General features: G+C 40.3%; 1 protein-coding gene and 1 pseudogene across 17 annotated transcripts in view, besides 1 other annotated feature; both read right to left on the reverse strand.

Moving 5' to 3' along the window:
• PSPC1 (paraspeckle component 1) overlaps positions 1-26,771 on the reverse strand; it is a 111,741-nt gene that overhangs the window by 50,424 nt on the left and 34,546 nt on the right. For 15 of the 17 annotated variants that reach the window (XR_007063689.1, XR_007063688.1, NR_003272.4 and 12 more), the window contains 2 exons: positions 19,937-20,021; positions 8,611-8,716 (listed from right to left, as the gene is read on the reverse strand). Coding sequence is in view for 9 of the 17 variants with exons in the window: in XM_047430435.1 (XP_047286391.1) it covers positions 8,611-8,716; positions 19,937-20,021 (191 nt within the window). In the remaining 8 variants the exon portion in view is untranslated. Of the gene's footprint in view, positions 1-2,177; positions 5,096-5,248; positions 6,758-8,610; positions 8,717-19,936; positions 20,022-26,771 lie in introns of those variants that run through there. The other 2 variants (XM_011535142.4, XM_011535141.4) reach the window with 2 other exon arrangements.
• On the reverse strand, positions 15,347-15,626 carry RN7SL166P (RNA, 7SL, cytoplasmic 166, pseudogene; annotated as a pseudogene).
• Positions 20,686-21,455: an enhancer, noted in NCBI's record as "H3K27ac hESC enhancer chr13:20316454-20317223 (GRCh37/hg19 assembly coordinates)". NCBI's record gives its function as "activates a minimal SCP1, AML or CMV promoter by ChIP-STARR-seq in primed H9 embryonic stem cells {active_cell/tissue: H9 hESC(primed)}" and the evidence as "EXISTENCE:reporter gene assay evidence [ECO:0000049][PMID:30033119]".

The raw sequence follows: 26,771 nt of genomic DNA on the forward strand, positions 1-26,771 counted from the left end.
ACATTACTCTGTATAAGTACTCAGCACCTAAAGTCCTCTAACATCCTCTGTATCCTCCACAGTGCTCAGCACTATGTTTTGAATACAGGAAACAGTGAACAAATTTTTCTTCCAAAATGGAAACCTCCCAGACGACCTGTAAGTCTAATACTCTGAAGTAAAAAGTTAGGTGTGTTGAAAACCAAGCAAAAAAAAATTGTTTCTTTGGCTGCTTTTAAAAATACTCTTCATTACTTAATCACGTATGAAGTCTATAAAAATGTATCAGCAGTTGTACCTCAATGCCACCTATGTTTTCCAAAGTGCCAAATGTGTAATATCTGAGGCATTAATATTCAATAAATGCCAAGGTCTAGTGATCCATACAGACTGAAAACCATAACTGAGCTGCATTGGCATTTGAAAAACAAGACTTCAAACAGCTACTTAATTCTCTCAGTTTACATCTAAGTAACTATAATATGACAAACATAAAATTCGTGACCTCGAAAAATTCAGAGAACACAATTAGTAGACAACAAAGTCAGAAAAAAATTAGAATACAACTTGGTAAATATAAAGAATAAACTATATTGAACATAAAAAGGACCAGGTGCAGTGGCTCACACCTGTAATCCCAGCACTTTGGGAGGCAGAGGCAGGAGGATTGCTTTAGCCCAGGAGTTTGAGATCAACCTAGGGAACACAGTGAGACTCCAACTCTACAAAAAAAATGTTTTTAATTAGGAGGGGCTGGTGTCACACACCTGCAGTCCCAACTACATGGGAGGCTGAGGCAGGAGGATCACTTAAGCTGAGGAGTTCAAGGTCACAGGGCGCTATGATCGTGCCACTGAACTCCAGTCTGGGTGACACAGCGAGAGCCTGTCTTAAAAAAATTTTCGGCCAGGTGTAGTGGCTCACTCCTGTAATCCCAACACTTTGGGAGGCTGAGGTAGGTGGATCACCTGAGGACAGGGGTTCGAGACCAGCCTGGCCAACACGGTGAAACCCCGTCTCTACCAAAAATACAAAAATTAGCTGGGCATGGTGGCGGGTGCCTGTCATCCCAGCTACTCGGGAGGGTGAAGCAGAAGAATCACTTGAACCTGGGAGGCGGAGGTTGCCATGAGCTGAGATCGCGCCACTGTACTCCAGCCTGGATGACAAGAGCAAAACACCGCCTCAAGAAAACAAAAACAAAAACAAAAAAATTTTCTGGCCAGGCACAGTGACTCATGCCTGTAATCCCAGCACTTTGGGAGGCCAAGGCAGGTGGATCACTTGAGGTAAAGAGTTCAAGAGCAGCCTGGCCAACATGGTGAAACCCCATCTCTACTAAAAAATACAAAAATTAGCCGGATGTAGTGGCGAGCACCTGTAATCTCAGCTACTTGGAAGGCTGAGGCACAAGAATCACTTGAACCCAGGAGGCAGAGGTTGCAGTGAGTCAAGATCACGCCACTGCACTCCAGCCTGGGCAACAGAGCAAGACTCCCTCCTTAAAACCAATTTTTAATTTTAAATTATTTTAATGAAAAAGATGACAGCTGGGGTGAGGAATCAGAAGAAACACATGACCTGAGTCTGAACAGATATTCTCCAAAAGGAAAAAAGAAAACATGATAATTTTTCTGGATTATGAACCTCTCTGAAACTCTAACAGAAGGTAAGATCAAAAAAATGTTAATCAATACAATTAAGTGTCCTCTGATGAAGTGTGTACACAGTATGAGATTCAGTCATCATTTCCAAGTAGTCATTCAAAAAAGATTTACAAATATGAATGATAAAACACAGAAAACCATTACTAATAATCATAGCATATGATTAGGCTAACTATACCTCCTGGTTCACCTAAGAAAGCCCATTTTATGCCTATTGTAGGAAGTATTTTAATAGTATGCATGTTCATTTGTCCCAGTTTGTATGAAAAATTCTACGGTTTCCCACACATCATTAGATATTATTGAAACTATTAAATAATCTTTGGAGGAGTGATCAAATAACTCAACACCTGGTTAAAACTGACACATACCTTCAACCAATTATCCCAAATCAGCAAAATCCTACAAATCAATTCTAAGAATATGTGTAAACATTACAAACTTATATATATGTTTGTTTTTATTTGATCACAAAAGTCTAAGTTAAGTTACAATTATGTACCGTGCCAAATATTGAGAAAAATCCTTGGCTTGTAATAAATTATTTTAATGAATAAGTAAAAACATTAACAACCGAAACTAGTCACAACTAGAACATTACATATGAGACCATTGCAATGTCTGTTATTATCCATTTTGATTTTCACCAACATGTCCAAACCACTGGGACTAGGCCATCATTATACCATAAATAAGCCTACCAGTCCAGCAGGTCACACTTAAATCTGACATCAAATCCTTCAGCAAATAATTCTTTAGTTATTTCCATAACTTAATGAAGAGGCCATAAAAATCCCTTGTAAAATGTGTCTTTTGTTTGAATGCTTCAGAAGTTTAGACTTCAAAAAACAAATCTTCTTAAGCAACATAAATTCCTCATTAGAGCTTTAAAAACTGTAGAAAAAGAGGGACAGCCATGTGGAAACCACAAAACTGTAACTTCTGCTCTGGAATCTTCACAAACCATTTCAGAAAATAAATTTGTATCTATTCATTAGTAAATAACAACAGGATCACTCTTCTCTGACAGCATAAATTAATGGAATTTTTTTTTTTACCAGATAGAGTTTCTGTTTTTCAGTTTTACACGTGCCACATCAGGGAAAGTTAGGTTATGATTAAAGCAAGAGATGATAGATGAACAAACAAAGAAACAACAACAAAAAGCCCATGCAAGAGGCAGGAAAAGAGGCTGACTGGTTAAAGAACAGGCCAGATTGGACAATACTGATCAAGAGGGGTTCACATTTGAAAGAACAGTGCTTTATTCCTCTACTGACTAGAACTAAAGGGATTTTGGCCGGGTACGGTGGCTCACACCTGTAATCCCAACACTCTGGGAAGCCAAGGTGGGCGGGTCACGAGGTCAGGAGTTCGAGACCAGCCTGACCAACATGGTGAAACCCCATCTCTACCAAAAATACAAAAACTTTGCCGAGCGTGGGCCGGGCGTGGTGGCTCATACATGTAATCCCACCACTTTGGGAGGCCGAGCGGGCGGATCACCTGAGGTCAAGAGATCGAGACCATCCTGGCCAACATGGTGAAACCACATCTCTACTAAAAATACAAAAATTACCCAGGCGTGGTGGCGCACGCCTGTAGTCCCAGCTATTTGGGAGGCTGAGGCAGGAGAATCACTTGAACCTGGGAGGCGGGGGTTGGAGTGGGCCGAAATCATGTCACTGCACTCCAGCCTGGCGAGACAGCAAGACTCCGTCTCAAAAATAAAAATAAAAATAAAAATAAAAAATTAGCCAATCGTGGTGGCGCGTGCCTGTAATCCCAGATACTCGGAAGGCTGAGGCAGGAGAAACACTTGCACCTGGGAGGCAGAGGTTGCAGTGAGCCAAGATCACGCCACTGAACTCCAGCCTAAGCGACAGAGCAAGACTCCATCTCAAAAACGAAAAAAAGATTTTAAAATCCCAGGTGTCAGCTGCAATGCAGTGACTCTTTACCATTTCTTCCCATTAACTTTTGCTCTGGTTTATAACCATGACTACCAATGAACCTTCTGGATACTAATTTGGATTCCTCAGGAATCCTTGGATCTGGAATATGAGGTACTGTGCTCAGTGAGCCTTCTAAAAACACTGGAAAAGAATATATAAATGAATAGATTTGCATTATTCTTCACAAGCTCTACGAGTTTGGTAATATGAGCCACTTTTATAGATTCCCTTCAACTCTCGGATTCAGAGGTCAGCAAACATTTCAGGTAAAGGGTCAGGTGTAAATATTTTTTAGGCTTGGCAGGCCATGTAGTCTCAATACAGTCTCACATAGTTGTGTCACAACTACTCAAATCAGTTTTTGTAGGGCAAAATAAACAAAACAAAACAAAACAAACAAAAAAAAGTGTTACAAAAATAGGCAGCATGTGAACTGAGCCTGGTCTGTTCTAGTCTGTCAACCCCTCGACTGGATGAGACAATTAAAATTATTAGAACTATGCACGCAAAATTAATGCATAGTTTGAGATAATATGTCCTGCACATATAGTCTGAAAGCCCAAATCAAGGTTGCCACACCCAAATTCTGCAGGGTACTATTCACGTAGAATGTCATACTGTTTGAACCGTGTTCTAAAGATGGATATATAACCATATGCAGTGGTAGGCAACTGTAGTCCCACTATTCAGGAGACTGAGACAGGAGGATAGCTTCAGGAGGTCAAGACCAGCCTGGGTAACACAGGGAGACCCAATCAAAAGAAAGAAAAAAATGAAGAAAGATGGGTACAGCAGCATGCCTACTCTCCCAGCTACTTGGGAGGCTGAGGCAGGAAGATTCACTTAAGCCCAGGAGTTTGAGGCTGTAGTGTGCTATAATCACACTTGTCAATAGCCACTGCACTCCAGCCTGGGCAACACAGCAAGATACCATCAATAAATAAATAAATTGCATCCTATATAAATCTTACACCATGTTGAACCACATCAAGCATGCCTTCCACTAACACTCCCAGGATCCATGAAAAATTCAACTATTTTCATTTCAGTATGTCTCATTTCAATACAAGGCCAGTAGTTTTGAATCTTCGCTACCAAAAAGAAATAAGCAAGGTGTAGAGTTTTCTTTAACACGTATATCTCCTGGTACCAACCTAGACACACTGAATCAAAATACTTGGAGGACTGAATCTCAGGCATTTTTCCTTAAGTTCCACAAATATATTGCAAGGTTGAAAACTACTGGATTTAGCAAAAAAATGTGATCAAAGATCAATGTATTACAATCTACCTGGATCACAAAACAAATCAATTATTAGTAGTATGATCTAAGAACCCACATTTTTTAAAAGCTCCTTGAGTGTTTATTACGTACATTGGAAAAACACTGTTCTGCTGGGCACAGTGGCATGTGCTTGTTGTCTCAGCCACTCAGGAGGATGAGGAAAGAGGACTGCTTGAGCCCAGCCTGGGCAACATATCAAGACCCCATCTCTAAAAGAAAAAAAATGTTTTACATTGTCCTTGGAAGAAGCACTACACTGCTAGCCTCTGCCAACATTCCCTTAATCATTCTGGCCTCACAGTCCCTCGGGTGCTACAATGGAATGCCTCTGACAAGCAAAGAAATACAACTGAGTCAAACTGTTGCCTTAGCATACAACATACCTTTATTCTCAAGTTTATTATGTGTGTTGAATAAACTGTGTTGAAACACCTAGGGCTATTCCCAACTACTCAAATGGGACTAATAAGCTTTAATAGTAAGTCAGGTATATATTTAGTTCAATGCAGGAAACCTGAAAAGGGTATGAAGAATTATTCTTTTCTTTATTGAAAAGGCAAACATTAATATGTACCATACAAGAAAAAGAAACTTCTCAGCTGGGTGTGGTGGCTCATGCCTGTAATCCCAGCATTTTGGGAAGCCAAGGCGGGCAGATCACCTGAGGTCAGGAGTTCGAGACTATCCTGGCCAACATGGTGAAACCCCATCTCTACCAAAAATACAAAAATTAGCTGGGCATGGTGGCAGGCACCTGTAATCCCAGCTACTCGGGAGGCTAAGGCAGGAGAGTCGCTTGAACCCAGGAGGCAGAGGTTGCAGTGAGCTGAGATCATCCCATTGCACTCCAGCCTGAACGACAAGAGTGAAACTCTGCCTCAATAAATAAATAAAAAAAAAAAGAAACTTCTCAAATTTTAAAACCAAGTAACATACAATTTAAACATCACCCCAATTTTCCTAACCCAAATATTTCATAACTACATGATACAATAACTAAAGCTAAAATAAGATGGACGTTTGGATATTTTTATGACATTAACATTTTCCCAAGAAGCAATGTTTACTCCAAGAAACTGCATCAACCAAATGCTAGAACTAAAATCTGTCATTTAGTCCAATGCAGATTTTTCCCATAAAGACTGGTAAGTACTGAAGTGTTTAAACTACTTAATCTACAGTTGGTGGAGTAACCTAATATGAAAACAATCACAAGACAATTATAAAAAACAATCTCATAAAATTCTCATTGCTTCCAGAATAATAGCTTTTAATGTGTCCAAAAATTGTGATAAGTAGAAAATTTCCACTTAGTAAATACTGCCTGGAAAAAAATTGAATACACTCTATATTATGGTAAAGACAAACCTAAATGCAATTAAGACATATTATTAAAATGTATACATTCTTAAGGCAGTTGAATGTTATCCTAAATGAGTAAAAAATGTTGTTTAATTTATAGTTACAACAGTAATTATCAAAAAGTTTGTCTTCTAAGGAAAAATCAAGTATTAAATAAAACTGACAACTGATATTGATGAAGTACTGGCTTACATCCTTGAAACTCTTAAAAATATATTCCCATGTGTCATAAAATTATGATCAAGTTGAAGGCTGACAAACAAAAAGATGACCAGATATGACAAGTGTTTTCACTCTTTCTTTGTTACATGAAATTATTATTTAAAATGTGAAATATGTAAATCAATATTTATTTTATACTTAAAAGTCCCATAACTCTTAGTTTTGTTGGAATATTTCTATTAGGAAGGCAAGAAGAGAGAGGTGGCATCTTAAAATTAACAAAGAAAATCAACTTTACTCATTACTTGGACAAGTTGAACACTTACCATTTGATTCCTCCCTTTAAACTGAACAGTGAAATAAAGAGAAAGCACATAAGAGGGCCTAATTTCAAAGCTTAAACACACACACACACACACACACACACACACACACACACACACACACAGCATTAAAATTGTTTAACAATTTTCTCCAAAGACAGTTTTCAAAGTAAATGAAGAACAACTGCCAGAATGGCCTCAATGCATTCTTAATACAATGCTTTCCTATTAATATACTCCCATTAACACAAAATATTTGAGATAGGTAGAGCTTTCATTCATATTGCTTTTAGTGCTTAAGTTTGCAGTAGTAAGAGGCACTGTGAAGCTTGGAACCAAATAAAACTGACACCAAAATAATGAAAAACTTGTGTAGATTCATATCACTTCTAATCACAAATAAACTTATAGAACACTAGTCAGTGTTACACAATTATCATACCTCATTTACATACTATTTGAAATACGGATATCCCAAAAAGTTAAGAGCATAGTAACTTTGTGGTCTATCTACCATAAATACTAATTTTAAAATTTTTTAAAAAACATAAATATTCCAGCCCAGGTTTCCACAGACACTATAAAAAGGTCAGAAAAAAATATTTTAAGTTATTGCGAGTCACAAATCATTTCTAATATTCTTCTTTCTTTTGCAATAACCCTTTAAAAACAGAAGCACCATCAGTATCTCTGTGGTGGAGTAATAAAAACCAGGCAGTAGTCCCAGGCTAGAGCTTGCCAACTTACACTCTAGCCAAATTAATTTTATCATGATGCTTCAAGTATGCGATACATACTTTAAGTAACTACTAGAAAAGAAGGTATATTGTCACCTAATGCTTTTCTATAAGCATAATCTTATGAAACAATAGATGATCTATTTTAGAAATGTCGGCTGGGCATGGTGGCTGACACCTGTAATCCCAGCACTTTTGGAGGCTGAGGTGGGCAGATCACTTGAGGTAAAGAGTTCGACACCAGCCTGGCCAATATAGTGAAACCCCGTCTCTACTAAAAATACAAAAATTAGCCAGGTGTGGTGGTGCGCACCTGTAATCCCAGCTACTTGGGAGACTGAGGCAGGAGAATCGCTTGAACCTGGGAGGCAGAGGTTGCAGTGAGCTGAGATTGTGCCACTGCACTCCAGCCTGGTTGACAGAGCAAGATTCCGTCTCAAAAAAAAAAAAAAGGTTACTAAAATATTAAAGACAGGAAGAGAAAACCTATAGACTAAAAGAGGCTGGATATAACAGTCAATTCAAAGAAACCAAATGTTTAAAAAAAAAAAAATTAAGACCTGTGCAAATCTGGGCTTTAATTAGTTAAGATGAAAGAGCTGACCATTTTTAAAATATGATAAAGATTTTTTTAAAAAGTCCTCATCTTTTAGAGATACATACTGAAAATAAAATTATATGAAATCAGGTATTTCAAATAACATAAATTGGGAAATAAAGTGGTTATACTTAAAGATGTAAAAGATTGGCCATATGTTTATAAGTGTTCACTACAATTCTTCTGTACATGTCTGAAATCTTCCAAAATAGAGATGTTTCAATATTAGTATGTGGTGAAAATCAGTCAAGTGGAAATGATGTATATATCAAGATTTCTAACTTAATAGCATATGTTTTTTTAAAGATCAACCAAAATAATAGGAAAAAATATAACATCCACTTCATAAAACATAGATATCTTCAGAAACTAATTTTACTTTACCACCTATGAGAGGTTAAGAAAATCACTAATTTATCAAACATGATGAATTTAGAAAGATTAGAAAAGACTACTGTATAAACCAAAATCTAAAGCATTCTAAATATGCATCATAAACCTGAAAATATAAAATCATTTTAGTTAACTAGTAGTTTACTTACATTTTCCATGTAGTTTGGCTTAAAGCCCTCTTGCTGTCGCCTCAGTTCCTCCTGTTCTCTGTGTCGGATCATTTCTTCCTCACGCCGCCGATGCTCCTCTTCATGTCTGAAAATTTTTCAAATAAAAATTTCAGCATCATAACATGTGGGCTGCCATTGGACATTTTACTTCATGTAAAATGAAATCATTTATGCAATCATATTATGCCAAACCTGTAATCACGACTGACCACGGCATCCTAAATTTACCTTCCTTCTATGTCACTCCAAGCCTTTAATAAATCAAAAAAGCCAAAGAAATAAAGTAACTTAGCTAAGGTAAACCAGAAAAACAAAGTAAAATCATAACTAGGATAGTTATTTGCGTATATTCAAGAAATTGAGAGTCAAAAAAAGCTGAAACATGTACTCTCTTACTATAGAAAGGAAAAAATCTCAGCCAGCCATGGTGGCTCACACCTGTAATCCCAGCACTTTGGGAGGTTGAGGCGAGTACATCACCTGAGGTCGGGAATTCAAGACCTGCCTGGCCAACATGGTGAAACCCTATCTCTACTAAAAATACAAAAATTAGCCAGGTGTGTTATAATCCCAGCTACTCGAGAGGCTGAGGCACCAGAATAGGTTGAACTCAGGAGGCAGAGGTTGCAGTGAGCGGAGATCGCGCCCCTGCACTCCAGACTGGGCAACAGTGAGACCCTGTCTCAGAAAAAAAAAACAAAAAAACAAAAAAAAAAAAAACAGAAAAAGTCTGAGATCTACTGATCTATCACTGGCACTGCACAGTTCTTAAAGCCACTCAGAACATATCCAGAGATAAGCCACCTCAAAAAACCACAATGCCTAGACAAAAATCCTATTTCCAAAAGGAAGCCTTACCAACTCCTCCCTCCCCATATTCATCAACCCACTGAAAGAAATCCCCTGAAGCAGGTGTCAGTCCACAATCTGCTTTTAGAAATTACGTGTTATAGCATAAACATTTACATTACTGTCTATGGTTACTTTTAAGAGGAAAAATCTATATAGTAATATTGAAGTAACAGACTCACATTATATTGGCATTTAAACCAATGCAAATTCAAATATACACAGGTTGAGTTTCCCTAAACCAAAAATCTGAAAGCATTCTTGAATCTTTCTAAACCTGAAATGCTCCAAAATCTGGATTTGTTGTTGTTGTTGTTGTTGTTGAGACAGGGTCTTACTCTGTCACCCATGCTGGAGTGTCCCAATCTCAGCTCAGCTCACTGCAGCCTTGACCTCCCAGGCTCAAGCAATCCTCCAATCTTAGCCTCCCAAGTAGCTGGGACTACGGGCACGTGCCACTATGTCCAGATAATGTTTTGTACTTTTGTAGAGACAGGGTCTTGCCATGTTGCCCAGACTGGTCTTAAACTCCTGGGCTCAAGTGGTCTGCCTGCCTCAATCTCCCAAAGTGCTGGGATTACAGGCGTGAGCCCCAACACCCCGGCTGGAACTTCCTGATAGCCAACATGATGTTTAAAAAAATGCTCACTGGGGCATTTCAGATTTAGGATGCTCACCTGGTAAACACAATGCAAATACTGAAAATGTGAAAAAATCCAAAATACTTATTCTGGTGTTAAACATGTCCCATAATGGATACTCAAGGTGTATGCCCTCCACCAATAAAACTGCAAAAGTAATTTATATAGTGAAGGCTATATAAAGCTGATGCCCCATTATTAGGTCTCGTTTTCCAGATTACTCTTATAACGTACTTTTCCTACATTTAGAATTGCAAATCCTCAAATTTCAAGATACCTTGTTCTTGTTTGTTGCACAACACTCCCGCTAAATCTGAGTCCACTAATTCAAAGATATGGTGATTTCTTCTATTACCAGAGAAAAAACTCAGAACTTCATGTCAGACAACATGAACAAAAATGTTCCTAAGGGATTTCACGCAAAATCTGGACTATTTTAAGATTGTTGTCTTACTCTCTATACAACTCTTAGTATAATCCTTAAAAATAATCTTTAAGTAAACTGGTTAATCCATTTCCTGGATATTAACACATTTCATATATTTTACTGTGAAGAAAGTACTTCACATTCATGGGTGTGGGTGGCGATGGGAAGATCCAATAAAGGTCAAATGTGTTGAAATTCAGTTTTTCTCATTTAAAAAAGGGTCAATATACTCATAATATACCAATACTACTTATAAAAAGAGTCAATATACTAATAATATACTTATATGCTCAGTGGGATCTGGGGCAGCACCCCATAATCAACCACATTAATATTTCTGCAGTAAGATAAAACATTCACACTCTGGAGGTAATAAAGGTTTCACATAACAGGAGTTCAGATCAACTTTTGCCATCAAATGGATTCACGTCAGATTGCCACCTGAATGAGGATACATAGAAAAACTTTTGGCAGGGCGCGGTGGCTCACGCCTGTAATCCCACACTTTGGGAGCCTGAGGCAGGTGAATCACCTGAGGTCAGGAGTTCAAGACTAGCCTGGGCAACATGGTAAAACCCTGTCTCTACTAAAAATACAAAAATTTGCTGGACGCGGTGGCACGTGCATGTAATCCCAGCTACTCGGGAGGCTGACGCAGGAGAATCGCTTGAGCCCAGGAGGCGGAGGTTGCAGAGAGCTGAGACTGCGCCACTGCACTCCAGCTTGCACAATACAGCGAGACTCCATCTCAAAAAAAAAAGAAAAAGAAAAAGAAAAAAAAAACACCAACTTTTTAGTCTCAAAGCTTCCGAATTACAAAGACAATACAGTAGACACAGTGACCTTGTTGGGGGCCCACTTCTACCACATAATTTTAAATGAACAAGCCTATTTCCAGTAAACAGAAATGTACGCACAAATGTGCAGGGACATATGTATACACAGATATATATTGTGGCATTATTTATAAAAGCAAAAGATCAAGGACACATTAATCAGTTATAAATGGGAGACAAGGTTCACTGACACCTTGGGAGACAAGAAACACATCTGTTACAGAGGTGGATTACTATCTACTGGCATGAAAGAATGTCTGCGATGCAAATGTCAGGAAAAAGGGCAAGTAAAAGAATGGTATTGCTATTACTGCTTTTAAAAACCATTTTTATGGCCGAATTTGGTGGCTCACACCTGTAATCCCAGGATTACTGGGATTACTTTGGGAGGTGGAGGCAGAAGCGAAGGTGGGAGGATCACTTGAGTGACAGCCTCTCTCCACGAAAAATAGAAAATATTAGCCACGGCCATGCACAGTGACTCATGTCTGTAATCCTAGCACTCTGGGAGGCCGAGACGGGCAGATCACTTGAGGTCAGCAGTTCAAGACCAGCCTGGTCCACATGGTAAAACCCCATCTCTACTAAAAATACAAAAAAATTACCCAGGTGTGTTGGCGCACACCTGTAATCCCAGCTACTCAGGAGGATGAGGCAGGAGAATCGCTGGAACCTGGGAGGCGGAGGTTGCAGTGAGCTGAGATCATGCCACTGCACTGCAGCCTGGGTGACAGAGCAAGGCTCCATTTCAAAAACAAGAAAAAAGAAAAAAAAATATATATATATATATATTAGGCAGGTATGGTGGCACACGCTTGTAGTCCCTGCTACTAGGGAGGCTAAGGTGGGAAGATCACTTGAACCCCATAAGGTGAGACTGCGGGGAGCCGTGATCACACCACTGCACTCCATTCTGGGTGACAGAGTGAGATTCTGTCTAAAAAATAAAATAAAAATGATTTTTAAAACCATAGAAGAGGGTATGAAAAAGTTTATATACCACATTGGAAATGATTAGGGGAACAGGAGCATTGCCCTTACGATTATACCACACAGAAGATTCTATAATCTAAATTTAATGACAGCATACAGAAACATTCCTGTTGTCCATATATGTTTGCTTTCAATTATTTCTACTCCACAAATGCTTTAATGACCACCTTTATAATTATACAAATTACCTCTTCAGGTCAAGGATTGCTTTCTAGGTTATATTCACAAATGGAACTACTAAGGAGAGGAGAACTAGTAATTATGACAAATTTTAAACCTTCACGTTACATTTAATTGAAAACTAATAAAATTTCAATTTTACAATTTGTTTTATTTTGAGGCCCATTAATTATTTACAGGTCTCAAATATTCTTGCAGGATTCTGAAAGACGCCTACTGGATGAAACCTCCTTGCTGTTATTGTTCAGCACTATGGCTCCACATCCAACACAGAGCCCAAGACAGAAGAAGGGCTTTATAATAATTCGCTAAATGACTTAAGAAAGGAAGTGGGGGCCAGGCGCACTGGCTCACGCCTGTAATCCCAGCACTTTGGGAGGCCAAGGCCGGCAGATCACCTGAGGTCAGGAGTTCGAGACGAGCCTGGCCAACATGGTGAAACCCTGTCTCTACTACAACTACAAAAACTAGCCTGGCGTGGTGGCAGGTGCCTGTAATCCCAGTTACTTGGGAGGCTAAGGCAGCAGAATCTCTTGAACCCGGGAGGCAGAGGTTACAGTGAGTCAAGATTGCACCACTGTACTCCAGCCTGGGCGAAAGAGCAAGATTCCTTCTCAAAAAAAAAATAATAAGAATATAAAAATTAGCCGGGCGTGGTGGCGTGCACTTTTAATTCCAGCTACTCAGGAGGCCGAGGCAGGAGAATCACTTGAACCTGGGAAGTGGAGGTTGCCGTGAGCCGAGATCACACCACTGCATTACAGCCTGAGCGACAGAGCGAGACTCCGTCTCAAAAAATCAAACAAACAAACAAACAAAAAAAACAAAGAAAGGAAGGAAGTGGGGCCGGGTGCGGTGGCTCATGCTTGTAATCCCAGCGCTTTGGGAGGACAAGGTGGGCTGATCATCTGAGGTCAAGGGTTTGCGACCAGCTTGGCCAACATGGTAAAACCACGTCTCGACTAAAAATACAAAAATTAGCCAGGCAGGGTGGTGGGCGCCTATAATCCCAGCTACTCGGGAGGCTGAGGCAGGAGAATCACTTGAACCGAAGAGGCAGAGGTTGCAGCGACCGAGATCGCGCCACCGCACTCCAGCCTGGGCGACAAGAACGAAACTCTGTCTCAAAAAACAAACCAAAGAAACGAAGTGGGTAGGTGAGTAAATGGGTGGAAAGAGAAGGAATGAAGGAATAAGTGAACAAACAAAACAAAGGAATAACTACTAAGTGGTCAAGTCACAGACTGAACCAGTTCATGTAAGCCCCTCATCCTGGTCTTCCTTTGGTACCTGCCACAACCTCTGAAGAATTAAGTTACCTATGAAAAACTAAATAATTTATTTATAGCATTGAAAGTAAAACCAGAAACTTGTGTACTCCAAATACATTTCTCCCAAAATGTACTGTCCTAGGCCAGTTTTTCTATCTTCCAACTAAAGTAAAGCACAAAGGCAGAATTCAGACTATTTGGCTTGTTAACAAATAAAGCTATCTTACTTGGCAGCAGCCTCAGCCAGATAAATCTCTTCAATTTAATTGTGACAATTTTCTTCATTTGCTCCATCTTGCAAATATATATGAGTTCCCAGACATAATCTTTTTTTCTTTCCTTTATACATACTGCAAAACTACTCAAAAAAAAAATTTTTTTTTTGAGACGCAGTCCCCTCTGTCACCCAGGCTGGAGTGCAGTGGCGCCATCTCTGCTCACTGCAAGCTACGCCTCCTGGGTTCAAGCCATTCTCCTGCCTCAGACTCTGAGTAGCTGGGACTACAGGCGCCCGCCACCACGTCCGGCTAATTTTTTGTATTTTTAGTAAAGACAGGGTTTCACCGTGTTAGCTAGGATGGTCTCGATCTCCTGACCTTGTGATCCGCCTGCCTCGGCCTCCCAAAGTGCTGGGATTACAGGCATGAGCCACCGCGCCCGGCCAAAAACTACTCAATTTTAAGGCAAGTTGTTCACACTTCTTAAATCAAGATTCTTACAGCTAATTTCAAAAGAAACTCCCCAGCCACCAGGAAAAACTAAGATTGTAACAGATTTATTACTGCCTGTATTTACTAGAATTTGGTCAAACATAAAGGTTACCCGTCAAATTATCACCTTATATTGAGATATTTTCAGTTAATTGAATTTTAGATTAAATCTGATGCCCCTGTATACTGAGATTACATAATAAAAAAAATCACGCAATAAAAAATTACATCTTCAGGCCACGCACAGTGGCTCAAGCCTGTAATCCCAGCACTTTGGGAGGCCGAGGCGGGCGGATCACAAGGTCAGCAGATCGAGACCATCCTGGCTAACACAGTGAAACCCCATCTCTACTAAAAATACAAAAAATTAGCCAGGTGTGGTGACAGGCGCCTGTAATCCTAGCTACTCCGGAGGCTGAGGCAGGAGAATGGCATGAACCTGGGAGGCAGAGCTTGCAGTGAGCCGAGATCGCGCCACTGCACTCCAGCCTGGGCGACAGAGTGAGACTCCGTCTCGAAAAAATAAATAAAATAAAATAAAAAATTACATCTGCAACAAGTATTCCACATCTCAGCCTATGATTAAATCAGCAACGTATCCTCTATGTGCCTCACGAGCTTCCCCTAATATTAACCCCTTGTATAACCATAGTACAAAATTATGAAAACCAGGAATGAATACTGGCACAATATTATAATTAACTATAGACATTACTAAAATTTCACCAGTTTCCTCACTAATCTTTTTTTAAAGAGATAGGGTCTTCCTATGTTTTTTGTTTGTTTGCTTGCTTGTTTATTTGTTTTAAGAGACAGGGTCTTGCTATGTTTCTGAGGCTGGAGTGCAGTGGCTATTCACAGGCGCTATCCCACTACTAATCAGCACGGGAGTTTTTACCTACTCCATTTCTGACTTGGGCCAGTTCACCCCTCCTTAGGTAACCTGGTAGTCCCCTGCTCCCAGAAGGTCACCATATTGATGCCAAACTTAATGCGGACATCCAATCGACATAGTGCATTACAGCCCAGAACTCCTGGGTTCAAGCAATCCGCCCACCTCAGCCTCCTAAGTAGCTGGGACCACAGGCCCACTAACACCTTTCTTCTGTTCCAATACCTTATCCAGAATCCCACATTGCATTTAGTCGTTATTTCTCCTTAGTCTCCAACAGTCTGTAACAGTTCAGTCTTTCTATCTTTCATGAACCTGACACTATTAAAGAGAACTGATTATTTTGTAGAATGTCCTTGAATTTGGGTTTGTTTTTTCTCATAACTGGAATGATTATGCATATCTGGTAAGAATATCACAGAAATAATGTTATATCCCATTCAGTGAATCATATCAAGGGGCTCCTGATGTTAACTGTCTTATTACAGGTGATATGAAATTTAGTGTTTGGTTATGGTGGTGTCTACTGGGTTTCTCCCTTTAAATTTAATATTTTTTCCTTTTGTATACAAATTTGAGACTATGCAAAAACCCTGTTTCTCAAGTTTTGCCCACCAACTTTGGTATCCATCAAAAAAGCTTGTCTGTAGCAATTATTATTAAAGATCGAGGCACCAGTTATGTTCATTGTTACTGAAGCTTCTAGGGCCTCTCAGTAGAAAAAGCCATAAAATACAGCATATGGGGCAGGCATGGTGGCACATGCCTGTAATATCAGCGCTTTCGGAGGCTGAGGCAGGAAAGATCACTTGAGGCCAGGAGTTTGATACCAGCCTAAGCAACATAGCATAATCCCATCTCTATAAAAAAATAAAAATTAAAAAATTAGCTGGGTGTGGTGGTAAACACCTATAGTCCCAGCTACTTGGGAGGCTAAGGCAGGATTGTTTGAGCTCAGGAGTTCGAGGTTACAGTCAGCTATGATTGAGACACTGCACTTCAGCCTGAGTGACAGGGCAAGACCTTGTCTCTTAAATAATTTTTTTAAATTAAAAATAAAATACAGTATATGTATACATATTAACCCATACATAAACACACATCTATATTTCTGCATGTATTTGTCAATATTAAACACCACAGAGTTCATACCTCTGATTCAAATCACACTCACACAGGATTTTAAGTTTAGCCGTTCATCTTTCTCTAATGATGAGAAATTTGAGTCTCATTATCCACAATATACAGTCATACCTTGGTATGTGCAGGGGATTGGTTCCAGAACCTCCCCCAGATACCAGAATCCACTGATGCTCAACTCCCTGACATATGGTGTAGTATTCGCATATAACCTATGCACATCCTCCTACACACTTAAAAGCATCTCTACTTATAATACCTAATACAATGTAAAGACTATGTAAACAGCACTGTTTACAGAGAACGACAAGTAACAAAAAGTCCTCCTACACACTTAAAAGCATCTCTAGATTACTTATAATACCTAACACAATATAAAGGCTATGTAAATAGTTGTTATACTGCACGGTTTAGAGAATGACAAGTTAGCCGGGTGCAGTGGCTCACGCCTGTAATCCCAGCACTTTGGGAGGCTGAGGCGGGAGGATCACAAGGTCACGAGTTCGAGACCATCCTGGCTAACACGGTGAAACCCCGTCTCTACTAAAAATACAAAAAAATAGCCAGGCATGGTGGCACGCGTCTATAGTCCCAGCTACTTGGGAGGCTGAGGCAGGAGAATGGCGTGAACTCGGAGGCGAAGCTTGCAGTGAGCCGAGATTGCGCCACTGCACTCCAGCCTGGGCGACAGAGCGAGACTCCATCTCAAAAAAAAAAAAAAAAGAGAATGACAAGTTTAAAAAGTCTGTTAATGTTAGTATATACACAATTTTTCCCCAGATATTATCAATCCACAGTTGGCTGAATCCATAGATGTAGAACCCACAGATACAAAAGACTGTAGGTACTAATCTGTTCATGTAACGTATACACACAAAGTGGTTTCAGAACTACTAGCCCATATGCCTAACTAGCTTACAGAATTTATGTATGGTTCTTATCATTAGTATTATGATATCCAGTCAACACACTATTTTCCAGTTATTTAGGTTCCTTGTTTTCTTCCCTACCCCCTTTCAATGTGATGATGTTATTCATTTGTAAGACAATTAGGTTAATTTCTTGTATTTTTGTATCCTATTTTGGAATCCACCCCTCATATTGTTTGGTTTTAATGATTTATTTTTTGCTTACATGAGGGGTAGGTATAATTTCAAAAAGCCTAGCTGTCATCTCTAAGTTTTAAGAGGAAAAAGCTAGATTCAGGTAAGCCTTTATGTTAGGGGAGAGGAGGTTTCGTTGTCTTTGTTAAAAATAGAAAAGATCTGGCCGGGCGTGGTGGCTCACACCTGTAATCCCAGCACTTTGGGAGGCCGAGGCAGGTAGATCACCTGAGGACGGGAGTTCAAGACCAGCCTGGCCAACATGGTGAAGCCCCATCTCTACTAAAAATACAAAATAAGGTGGGCATGGTGGCGCAAGCCTGTAATCCCAGCTAGGAAGCTGAGGCAGGAGAATCACTGGGACCTGGGAGGCAGAGGTTACAGTGAGCCAAGATCGCACCATTGCATTCAAGCCTGGGCAGCAAGAGCGAAACTCCGTCTCCAAAATAAAATTTAAAAAAAAAGTAGAAGAGATTTGAACATGTCTATATAAAAAGGAAAAAAGAAAAGTTTTAAAAAAGGTTCCTGAGGAAGGCACATTCATGATGTTGAGAGTTGTTTAAAAAAAAAAAAAAAAAAACAGTAGTTCTCAAGCTTTCAGATCTATCTGAATGCTGGAGGATTCCAGGTGGCTGGGCCTCACCACTATTGTTTCTCATTCAGTAGTTCTGCAGGGAGGCTTGAGACTACATTCCTAACAGTTCCCTAGGTGAAATGTTAATGCTGTCTGTCCAGGGAATATGATTTAAGAATGAATTGGGGCCGGGCACGGTGGCTCACGCCTGTAATCCCAGCACTTTGGGAGGCCGAGGCAGGCGGATCACCTGAGGTCCGGAGTTCGAGACCAGCCTGACCAACATGGAGAAACCCCGTCTCTACTAAAAGTACAAAATTAGCCGAGCATGGTGGCACATGCCTGTAATCCCAGCTACTCGGGAGGCTGAGGCAGGAGAATGGCTTGAACCCGGGAGGCGGAGGTTGCTGTGAGCCGAGATCGCGCCATTGCACTCCAGCCTGGGCAACAAGAGCGAAACTCCCTCTCAAAAAAAAAAAAGAATGAATTGGGTAGAGTAAAATCACATAGAAATATTTATAAATTGATAAACTCAGGTACAAAGTTTGAAGAAATACATCAAAATATACAGAATATCACCTATCTGTAGACCAGAGAAGCTTCAAATTTGTTCACGGTTTTTCACTTTTTTCTTTACTTTTACTTCCCCATGAACACCTTATTTTCTTATCACAAGCACCTTACATTTTTAAAGCAAATACTATTTTCAAAAACAGATTTCTACATTTGCTTTAACTATCATAGCTTTGTTTATAATATTTCCTAACTAGTATGATTTTTGAACCTTTGAAGAGTAATGTTTATACCATTATATTTTGCAATTAAACACCACAGGCACAAGGTGAGCTATCAATGTGGGTTTATATATCTTGAATTAACCACTCTCTCAAACATCCTTACTTAAACCTAAAAGATTTCAAGCTGACCATCACGATTGTCTATTATGTACTGAGATTTTAAGTCCCCATAACCCCTTTTAACACGGAGTCAACTTCCAGAAATCTTTTTTTTTTTTTTGAGATGGAGTCTCACTGTGTAGCCCAGGCTGGAGTGCAGTGGCAAGATCTCAGATCACTGCAACCTCCGCCTCCTGGATTCAAGCGATTCTCCTGCCTCAACGCCCTGAGTAGCTGGGATTACAGGCGCGTGCCACCACAGCCAGCTAATTTTTTAGTTTTAGTAGAGACAGGGTTTCACCATGTTGGCCAAGCTGGTCTCGAACTCCTGACCTCATGTGATCTGCCCACCTCAGCCTCCCAAAGTGCTGGAATTACAGGCATGAGCTACTGCCCCCAGCCTCAGAAATCTTGTTTAAAGATTATCAGAAGCACAAAGTTACATAAAGATATTCATAGTAGAGTTTTACACATAACAAAATAAATAAGAGCAACGCAAATATATCCATCTCTGGAAAAATGGATATTCACAGCATATTCTTATAATAAATTACATATAATAATACCTAAAACCCTTGTTTAACTTCAAAGTTTAGCATTCAAAGTGCCCTTAACCAGCTAAAAACCAGCAAAGAATTATGCTACATTATGAAGTAATTCACTGTATGTGGTTAAAATGGGCAATTTTTCTATTTTTCCTGTGATACTCAACTTATACAACTTGTAACAGGTTGTGGGGAGTTTTTATTAATAAGACATACAATTCATGTTTCTTAAAATGATCTTCTTTTACCTTAGTTGTATTTGCTTCCGTTTTTGCAACTCTTGGTTTCTGAGTTCTTCCAAGCGTCTGAGTTCTTCTTGACGCCTCATTAGATCTATAAAATAATGACTGCACATTAATATTTTTAGTTTCCCTTTCCATATTTTTATACCAATAAGCATAGAAGTTCTCTATCACTGGCAATATATTGGTATATTACTCATTTTATAATAATGTAAGCTGGGTAATTAAATAAATATCCTTTCTGAGCACGTTTCTTCACGTATATAAAAAAGAGTATTCAAGTTCATTCTTGGCCAGGTGCGGTGGCCCACGCCTACAATCCCAGTAATTTGGGAGGCCAAGGCAGGCGTATCACTCGAGGCCAGGAGTTTGAGACCAGCCTGGCCAACAAGGCAAAACCCCAACTCTACCAAAACTACAAAAATTAGCTGGGCATGGTGGCGCGCGCCTGTAGTCCCAGCTACTCAGAAGGCTGAGGCAGGAGAATCACTTGAACCCGGGAGGTGGAGGATGCAATGAGTTGAGATTGTGCCACTGCACTCCAGCCTGAATGACAGAGCAAGACTCCATCTCAAAAACAAGTTCATTGTTAGGGGAAAAACACGTAATAAACTCATCTTGGCTGGGCGCGGTGGCTCACGCCTTATAATCCCAACACTTTGGGAAGCCCAGGTGGGCAACAGAGTGAGATGACTCAATCTCAAAAAAAAAAAAAAAACAAACAAATAAATAAATAAAAATTCATCTTTACGTCAAGAAATTAAAATAGGTAGGCTGGCTTGTGCCTGTAATCCCAGCACTTTGGGAGGCCGAGGCAGGCGGATCACTTCGGCCGAGGAGTTCGAGACCAGCCTGAGTAACACAGTGAAACCCTGTCTACAAAAAATACAAAAATCAGGGCCAGGTGTGGTGCCTCACAGGTGGAATCTCAACACTTTGGGAGGCCAAGGCAGGCGGATCACCTGAGGTTGGGAGTTCGAGACCAGCATGGCCAACATGGCGCAACCCCATCTCTACTAAAAATACAAAAATTAGCTGGGTATGGAGGTGCACGCCTGTAATTCCAGCTACTCGGGAGATTGAGACAGGAGAATCACTTGAATATGGGAGGCGGAGGTTGCAGTGAGCCAAAATTGCGCCACTGCACTCCAGCCTGGGTTGCACAGCAGAACTGTCTCTAAAATAAAATAACAAATTGTAATTGTTTTCAGCAGCAAATGCAAAGCCCCAACACATGCCTTCAGAGACACCAGCAGAGAGCACTTAAGAACCAGACCAAACAGGAATCATGACATAAAACCCAAGGAACCTCCCTCGCAACACGATTAGCATGAAATTCCTCCCTAACTAAGCCAATGTCTTACGAAGAAGAGTGAGGAGACAATTCTTCAAAGAAGAAAGCAAAGATAAATGCTGATATAAACAAGACTTTTCAACAACAAAAAAGCATTTCCACTATCACCAATCCCTGCCATATCAAGAATGGGGGGGTTCCAGAGTAAGATAATGAAAAGTACATTTGTATTGCACATCTAAGAAGTAGTGTATAAACTTTCCACGTTAAAAATCTCCAAAGCTAAAAATCTTTGTGTGTGATTTTGTATAAAATTATGTATGTATATATGCATATATTTTAAAATAATAAAATGTTAAAATACTCTGGATGGCACAATTGCTGGTTGCTTTTATTTTCCTTTTCTCTTTATATCTGAAATGTCTAAAGTGAACAAATTACCTCAACTGAATGTTTCTTAATAAACACCTGTACTCAAGAGTTGACTCATATAATACTACAGCTAAAGTTAATCTAAGGTACCAATAACCCAAACTTCATAACAATAGCAAGACAGGCATCATAACCATAACAAGGTAAATATTGTTCTCCCCATTTTACAGATTAAAAACAGACATTTATAAATTATGCAAAAAAAAAGGATTCAGACAGATTATAAAGTTGCTCCAGCTATTACATGATTCAACTGGGATGCCAGGCCAAACCTCTCCTTATTCCAAAGCTCTTTCAAAAAAGTATGCCAAACCTAGTTGATCAGACTCAATTGGAAAACTTAAAAATATGCATTTGGGGATGTTGCTAAGAAAAGTCTGTTTTGGTATATGAGACAGGGCCCAGGTAGTTCTCATAATAGGCCCATAGAGAAAACACTTGATTATCTGAAAAATGTTAAACATGACCGCAATTATTTCGAACCTTTATAACATAATTCTCAACCTTAAATACTCATTAGAATTACTTAAATACCTGACCAGTATTTAAGTAATGGCTCACACCTGTAATCCCAGCACTTTGGGAGGCTGAGGCAGGCGGATCACCTGAGGTCGGGAGTTGGAGGCCAGCCTGACCAACATGGAGAAACCCCGTCTCTACTAAAAACACAAAAATTAGCCAGGCGTGGTGGCGCATGCCTGTAATCAGAGCTACTCAGGAGGCTTAGGCAGGAGAATCACTTGAACCCGGGAGGCGGAGGCTGCAGTGGGCTGAGGTCACACCATTGCACTCCAGCCTGGGCAACAAGAGCGAAACTCCATCTCAAAAACAAAAAAATTACTTAAATACCTTTTTTGTTTTTTCTCTCAGAGACAGGGTCTCACTCTGGCACCCAGGCTGGAGTAGAGTGGCATGATGGTAGCTCACTACAGCCTCAAAAACCTGGGCTCAAGAGATCTTCCCACCTCAGTCTCCCCAACAGCCAGGACTGACAGGCTTTTAACCTCTCAGATCTTATCACCTTACTTGTAACACTGGTATAATTAGCTCAAAGGCTCCAACAATGAAATTATCAAATAAGCACAATTACCTAATACTTAAAAGAACTATAAACTTAAAACTACCATTTTATGTTGACTAAATTATATATTTTTTAAAGTTCCTAATACCCAAAGTTCCTGATATTTCACTAAAGCTTATACATCTGTACACTGCCATGATAATATCTTTCTAGGGGAAAAAACTGTAAAAAGTACATAACTAGAGATGTCTTTTTTTTTCTTTTTTTTCTTTTTTTTGAGACAGAGTCTCGCTTTGTTGCCCAGGCTGGAATGCAATGGCGAGGTCTCGGCTCACTGCAACCTCTGCCTACCAGGTTCAAGCAATTCTCCTGCCTCAGCCTCCCAAGTAGCTGGGATTATAGGCGCCCACAACCGCGCCCAGCTAATTTTTGTATTTTTAGTAGAGATGAGGTTTCACCATCTTGGCCAGGCTGGTCTTGAACTCGTAACCTTGTGATCCACCCGCCTTGGCCTTCCAAAGTGCTGGGATTAAAGGCGTGAGCCACCGCGCCCGGCCCAACTAGAGATGTCTTTATCTTTTGATCCAGGAAATTACACTCAGGAATTTTTCTTAATAAAATAAAGCCATCTACAGTCATGAAGGCATCATCTACCGTATTACTTATTACTTACTAAACCAAATAACACTTTGAAATGCTTTCCTGGCTGGGCACAGTGGCTTACCAAAGTGGGAGGCTGCCTCGGCCTCCGAAAGTAATCCCAGCACTTTGGGAGGCTGAGGCGGGTGGATCACTTGAGGTCAGGAGTTTGAGACCTGCCTGGCCAACATGGCAAAATACTGTCTCTATTAAAACTACAAAAATAAGCCGGGCATGGTGGCACACGCCTGTAGTCCCAGCTACTCAAGGAGGATGAGGCAGAAGAATCACTTGAACCTGGGAGGCACAGGTTGCAGTGAGCAGAGATTATGCCAACGCAGTCCAGCCTGGGTGACACAGCAAGACTGTCTCAAATTAATTAATTAATTAAAATGCTGTCCTAACAAATTTAATGATAAAATTACATGAAATTATATGCTATAATTTCAATGTATCATAAATACAGGTACAGAAAAAAGGAATATAAACAAACTAAAATTTTGATTTGCTAGACTGTAAGACAGTGTTTTCTCAATTTAAAATTGCACAAGTCATGAAAACTGAATGTATAACTTCTGATCTAACAATTTTATTTTCTAAAAATACTAGTCTCTTTATTTTTCTTTCAGTTTTTATTTTACCGCTGATCTGTCCAGATTTATGACACTGAATTAATTTTTTTTTTTTTTTTTGAGATGGGAGTCTCGCTCTGTCGCCCTGGCTGGAGTGCAGTGGCGTGATCTCGGCTCACTGCAACCTCCACCTCCTGGGTTCAAGCAATTCTCCCGCCTCAGCCTCCCAAGTAGCTGGGACTACAGGCGCATGCCACCAGGCCTGGCTAATTTTTCGTATTTCCAATAGAGATGGGGTTTCACCATGTTAGCCAGGATGGTCTCGATCTCCTGTCGGCATTAATGTTCTTTAATCATAAACCTCACATGTATTTAAATCCTAATATCTCAAGTAGGTTCAGGCATGACTGTTCTGTTCTTCACTTATGTGATGTTTATCCTCTGTTGATTTCTTTAAGAAGGGCTCACAGCAACATATTTGTTTTGTTTTTTGTTTTTTTTTTTTTTTGAGACGGAGTCTCGCTCTGTCGCCAGGCTGGAGTGCGGTGGTGCGATCTTGGCTCACTGCAACCTCCGACTCCCTAGTTCAAGCAATTCTCCTGCCTCAGCTACCCGAGCAGCTCACACCTATAATCCTAGCACTTTGGGAGGCTGAGGTGGGCGGATCACGAGGTCAGGAGTTCAAGATCAGCCTGACCAACATGGTGAAACCCCATCTCTACTACTAATACAAAAATTAGCCGACTGTGGTGGCATGCACCTGTAATCCAGGCTACTCAAGAGGCTGAGGCAGGAGAATCACTTGAAACACAGAGGCAGAGGTTGCAGCAAGCCGAGATTGCGCCACTGCACTCCAGCCTGGGCAACAGAGCGAGACTCCGTCTCTAAATAAATAAATAAATGTTAAAAAAAAATAAATGTAATGGAGCCAGGCGCAGTGGCTCACGCCTGTAATCCTGACACTTTGGGAGGCTGAGGCGGGCAGATCACTTGAGGCCAGGAGTTTGAGGCCAGCCTGGCCAACATGGCAAAGCCCTGTCTCTACCAAAAATACAAAAATTAGCCGGGTATGGTGGCTCATGCCTGAGGGAGGAGAATCACTTGAACCCGGGAACCGGAGGTTGTAGTGAGCTGAGATTGTGCCACTGAACACCAGCCTGGGCAACAGAGTGAGACTCCATCTCAAAAAAAAATTTTTTTTTAATGTAATGGGAGTTGAATCTAGAAAGGACTAAATAATTATCAGTAAAGTATAAATCAAACAATTATTATTGTAAGGTACCCATGTGTTCAATAAGAATCAACATTTACGGCTGGGTGTGGTGGCTCACGCCTGTAACCCCAACACCTTGGGAGGCTGAGGCGGATGGATCACTTGAGGTCAGGAGTTCGAGACCAGCCTGACCAACATGGAGAAACCCCATCTCTACTAAAATACAAAATTAGCCAGGCGTGGTGGCGCATGCCTGTAATCCCAGCTACTCAAGAGGCTGAGGCAGGAGACTCGCTTGAACCCAGGAGGTGGAGGTTGCAGTATGCCGAGATGGCGCCATTTCACTCCAGCCTGGGCAACAAGAGTGAAACTCCGTCTCAAAAAAATAAAAAAAAATCAACATTTACAAAAATTTTCTGATACATGCATATATATTCTTTGCAGCACTGCTTTTAAAAACAAACTGAAAAGAGAAATTGTTATCGAAAGAGGATGAACTAAACTAATTGTACCCATATAAAAGAATATCATACAACCATTAAAAATATAAGGCGGATATTTACATATATATTCATGTAGAAAGTAAAAAAGGTACAGAAAAGGTAAACAGCTTTTTTTTAGAGACAGAGTCTCGTTCTGTCATCCAGGCTGGAGTACAGTGGCATAATTACAGCTCACTACAGCCTCAAGCTCCCAGGCTCAAGTGATCCTCCCACCTAAGCCTTCCCAAGTAGCTGCAACTACAGACACATGCCACCATGCCCAGCTAATTTCTGTACTTTTGGTAGAGACGGGGTCTCACTGTGTTACTGAGGTTAGTCTTGAACTGCTGGACTCAAGCAATCCTCCCACCTCAGCTTCCCAGTGCTAGAATTACAGGCATGAGCCACTACACCCAGCCAGTTTGTTTTGTTGTTACGATTTTTGGGTTTTTTGCTTACAAATACACAAAAACATCTAATGACATATGCAAATTTTTTTTCATTAAAGAATACAAAAGAGACTTAAAATACAAAAAGTGATTCCTACAAAAAAGCAGAAGGTAGTAAATAGGGGGACAATTTTTCTGTATTGTTTGAGATTTCTCCTTCCATGATATGTCATGATACATGTTTCTGCGGAACCACACAACTAAGATTAATTACAGTCTCTCCTCAACCTGAATACATCCTTAGAAATGCTGGATGAAATACAAAATTGTAGGCCGGGTACAGTGGCTTATGCCTGTAATCCCAGCACTGTGGGAGGTCAAGGCAGGTAGATCACTTGAGGTCAGGAGTTCGAAACCAGCTTGACCAACATGATGAAACCCCATCTCTACTAAAAATACAAAATTAGCTGGGCGTGGTGGTGTACACCTGTAATCCTAGCTACTTGGGATGCTGAGGCAGGAGAATCGCTTGAACTCAGAAGGCAAGAGGTAGGTCTACAATGAGCTGAAGTTGCACCACTGCACTCCAGCTTGGGCGAAGAGCAAGAGTCTGTCTCAAAAAAAGAAAAAAAAAAAGAAATACAAAATTGTAGAACAAATGGGAGAAAGTTGTAACTTTTTAAATTTTTAAACAAACTACAACTGAAATTTACCAATTGCAGACTTTGGATCAAATAAGTACAAGTACTTCGGCACAAGTGAACCCAGAAGCAGGGAGTAGGATTCAACAAGCAATGTG

Source organism: Homo sapiens, chromosome 13 (genome assembly GCF_000001405.40).
Source record: "Homo sapiens chromosome 13, GRCh38.p14 Primary Assembly".
Classification (NCBI taxonomy): Eukaryota; Metazoa; Chordata; class Mammalia; order Primates; family Hominidae; genus Homo; species Homo sapiens.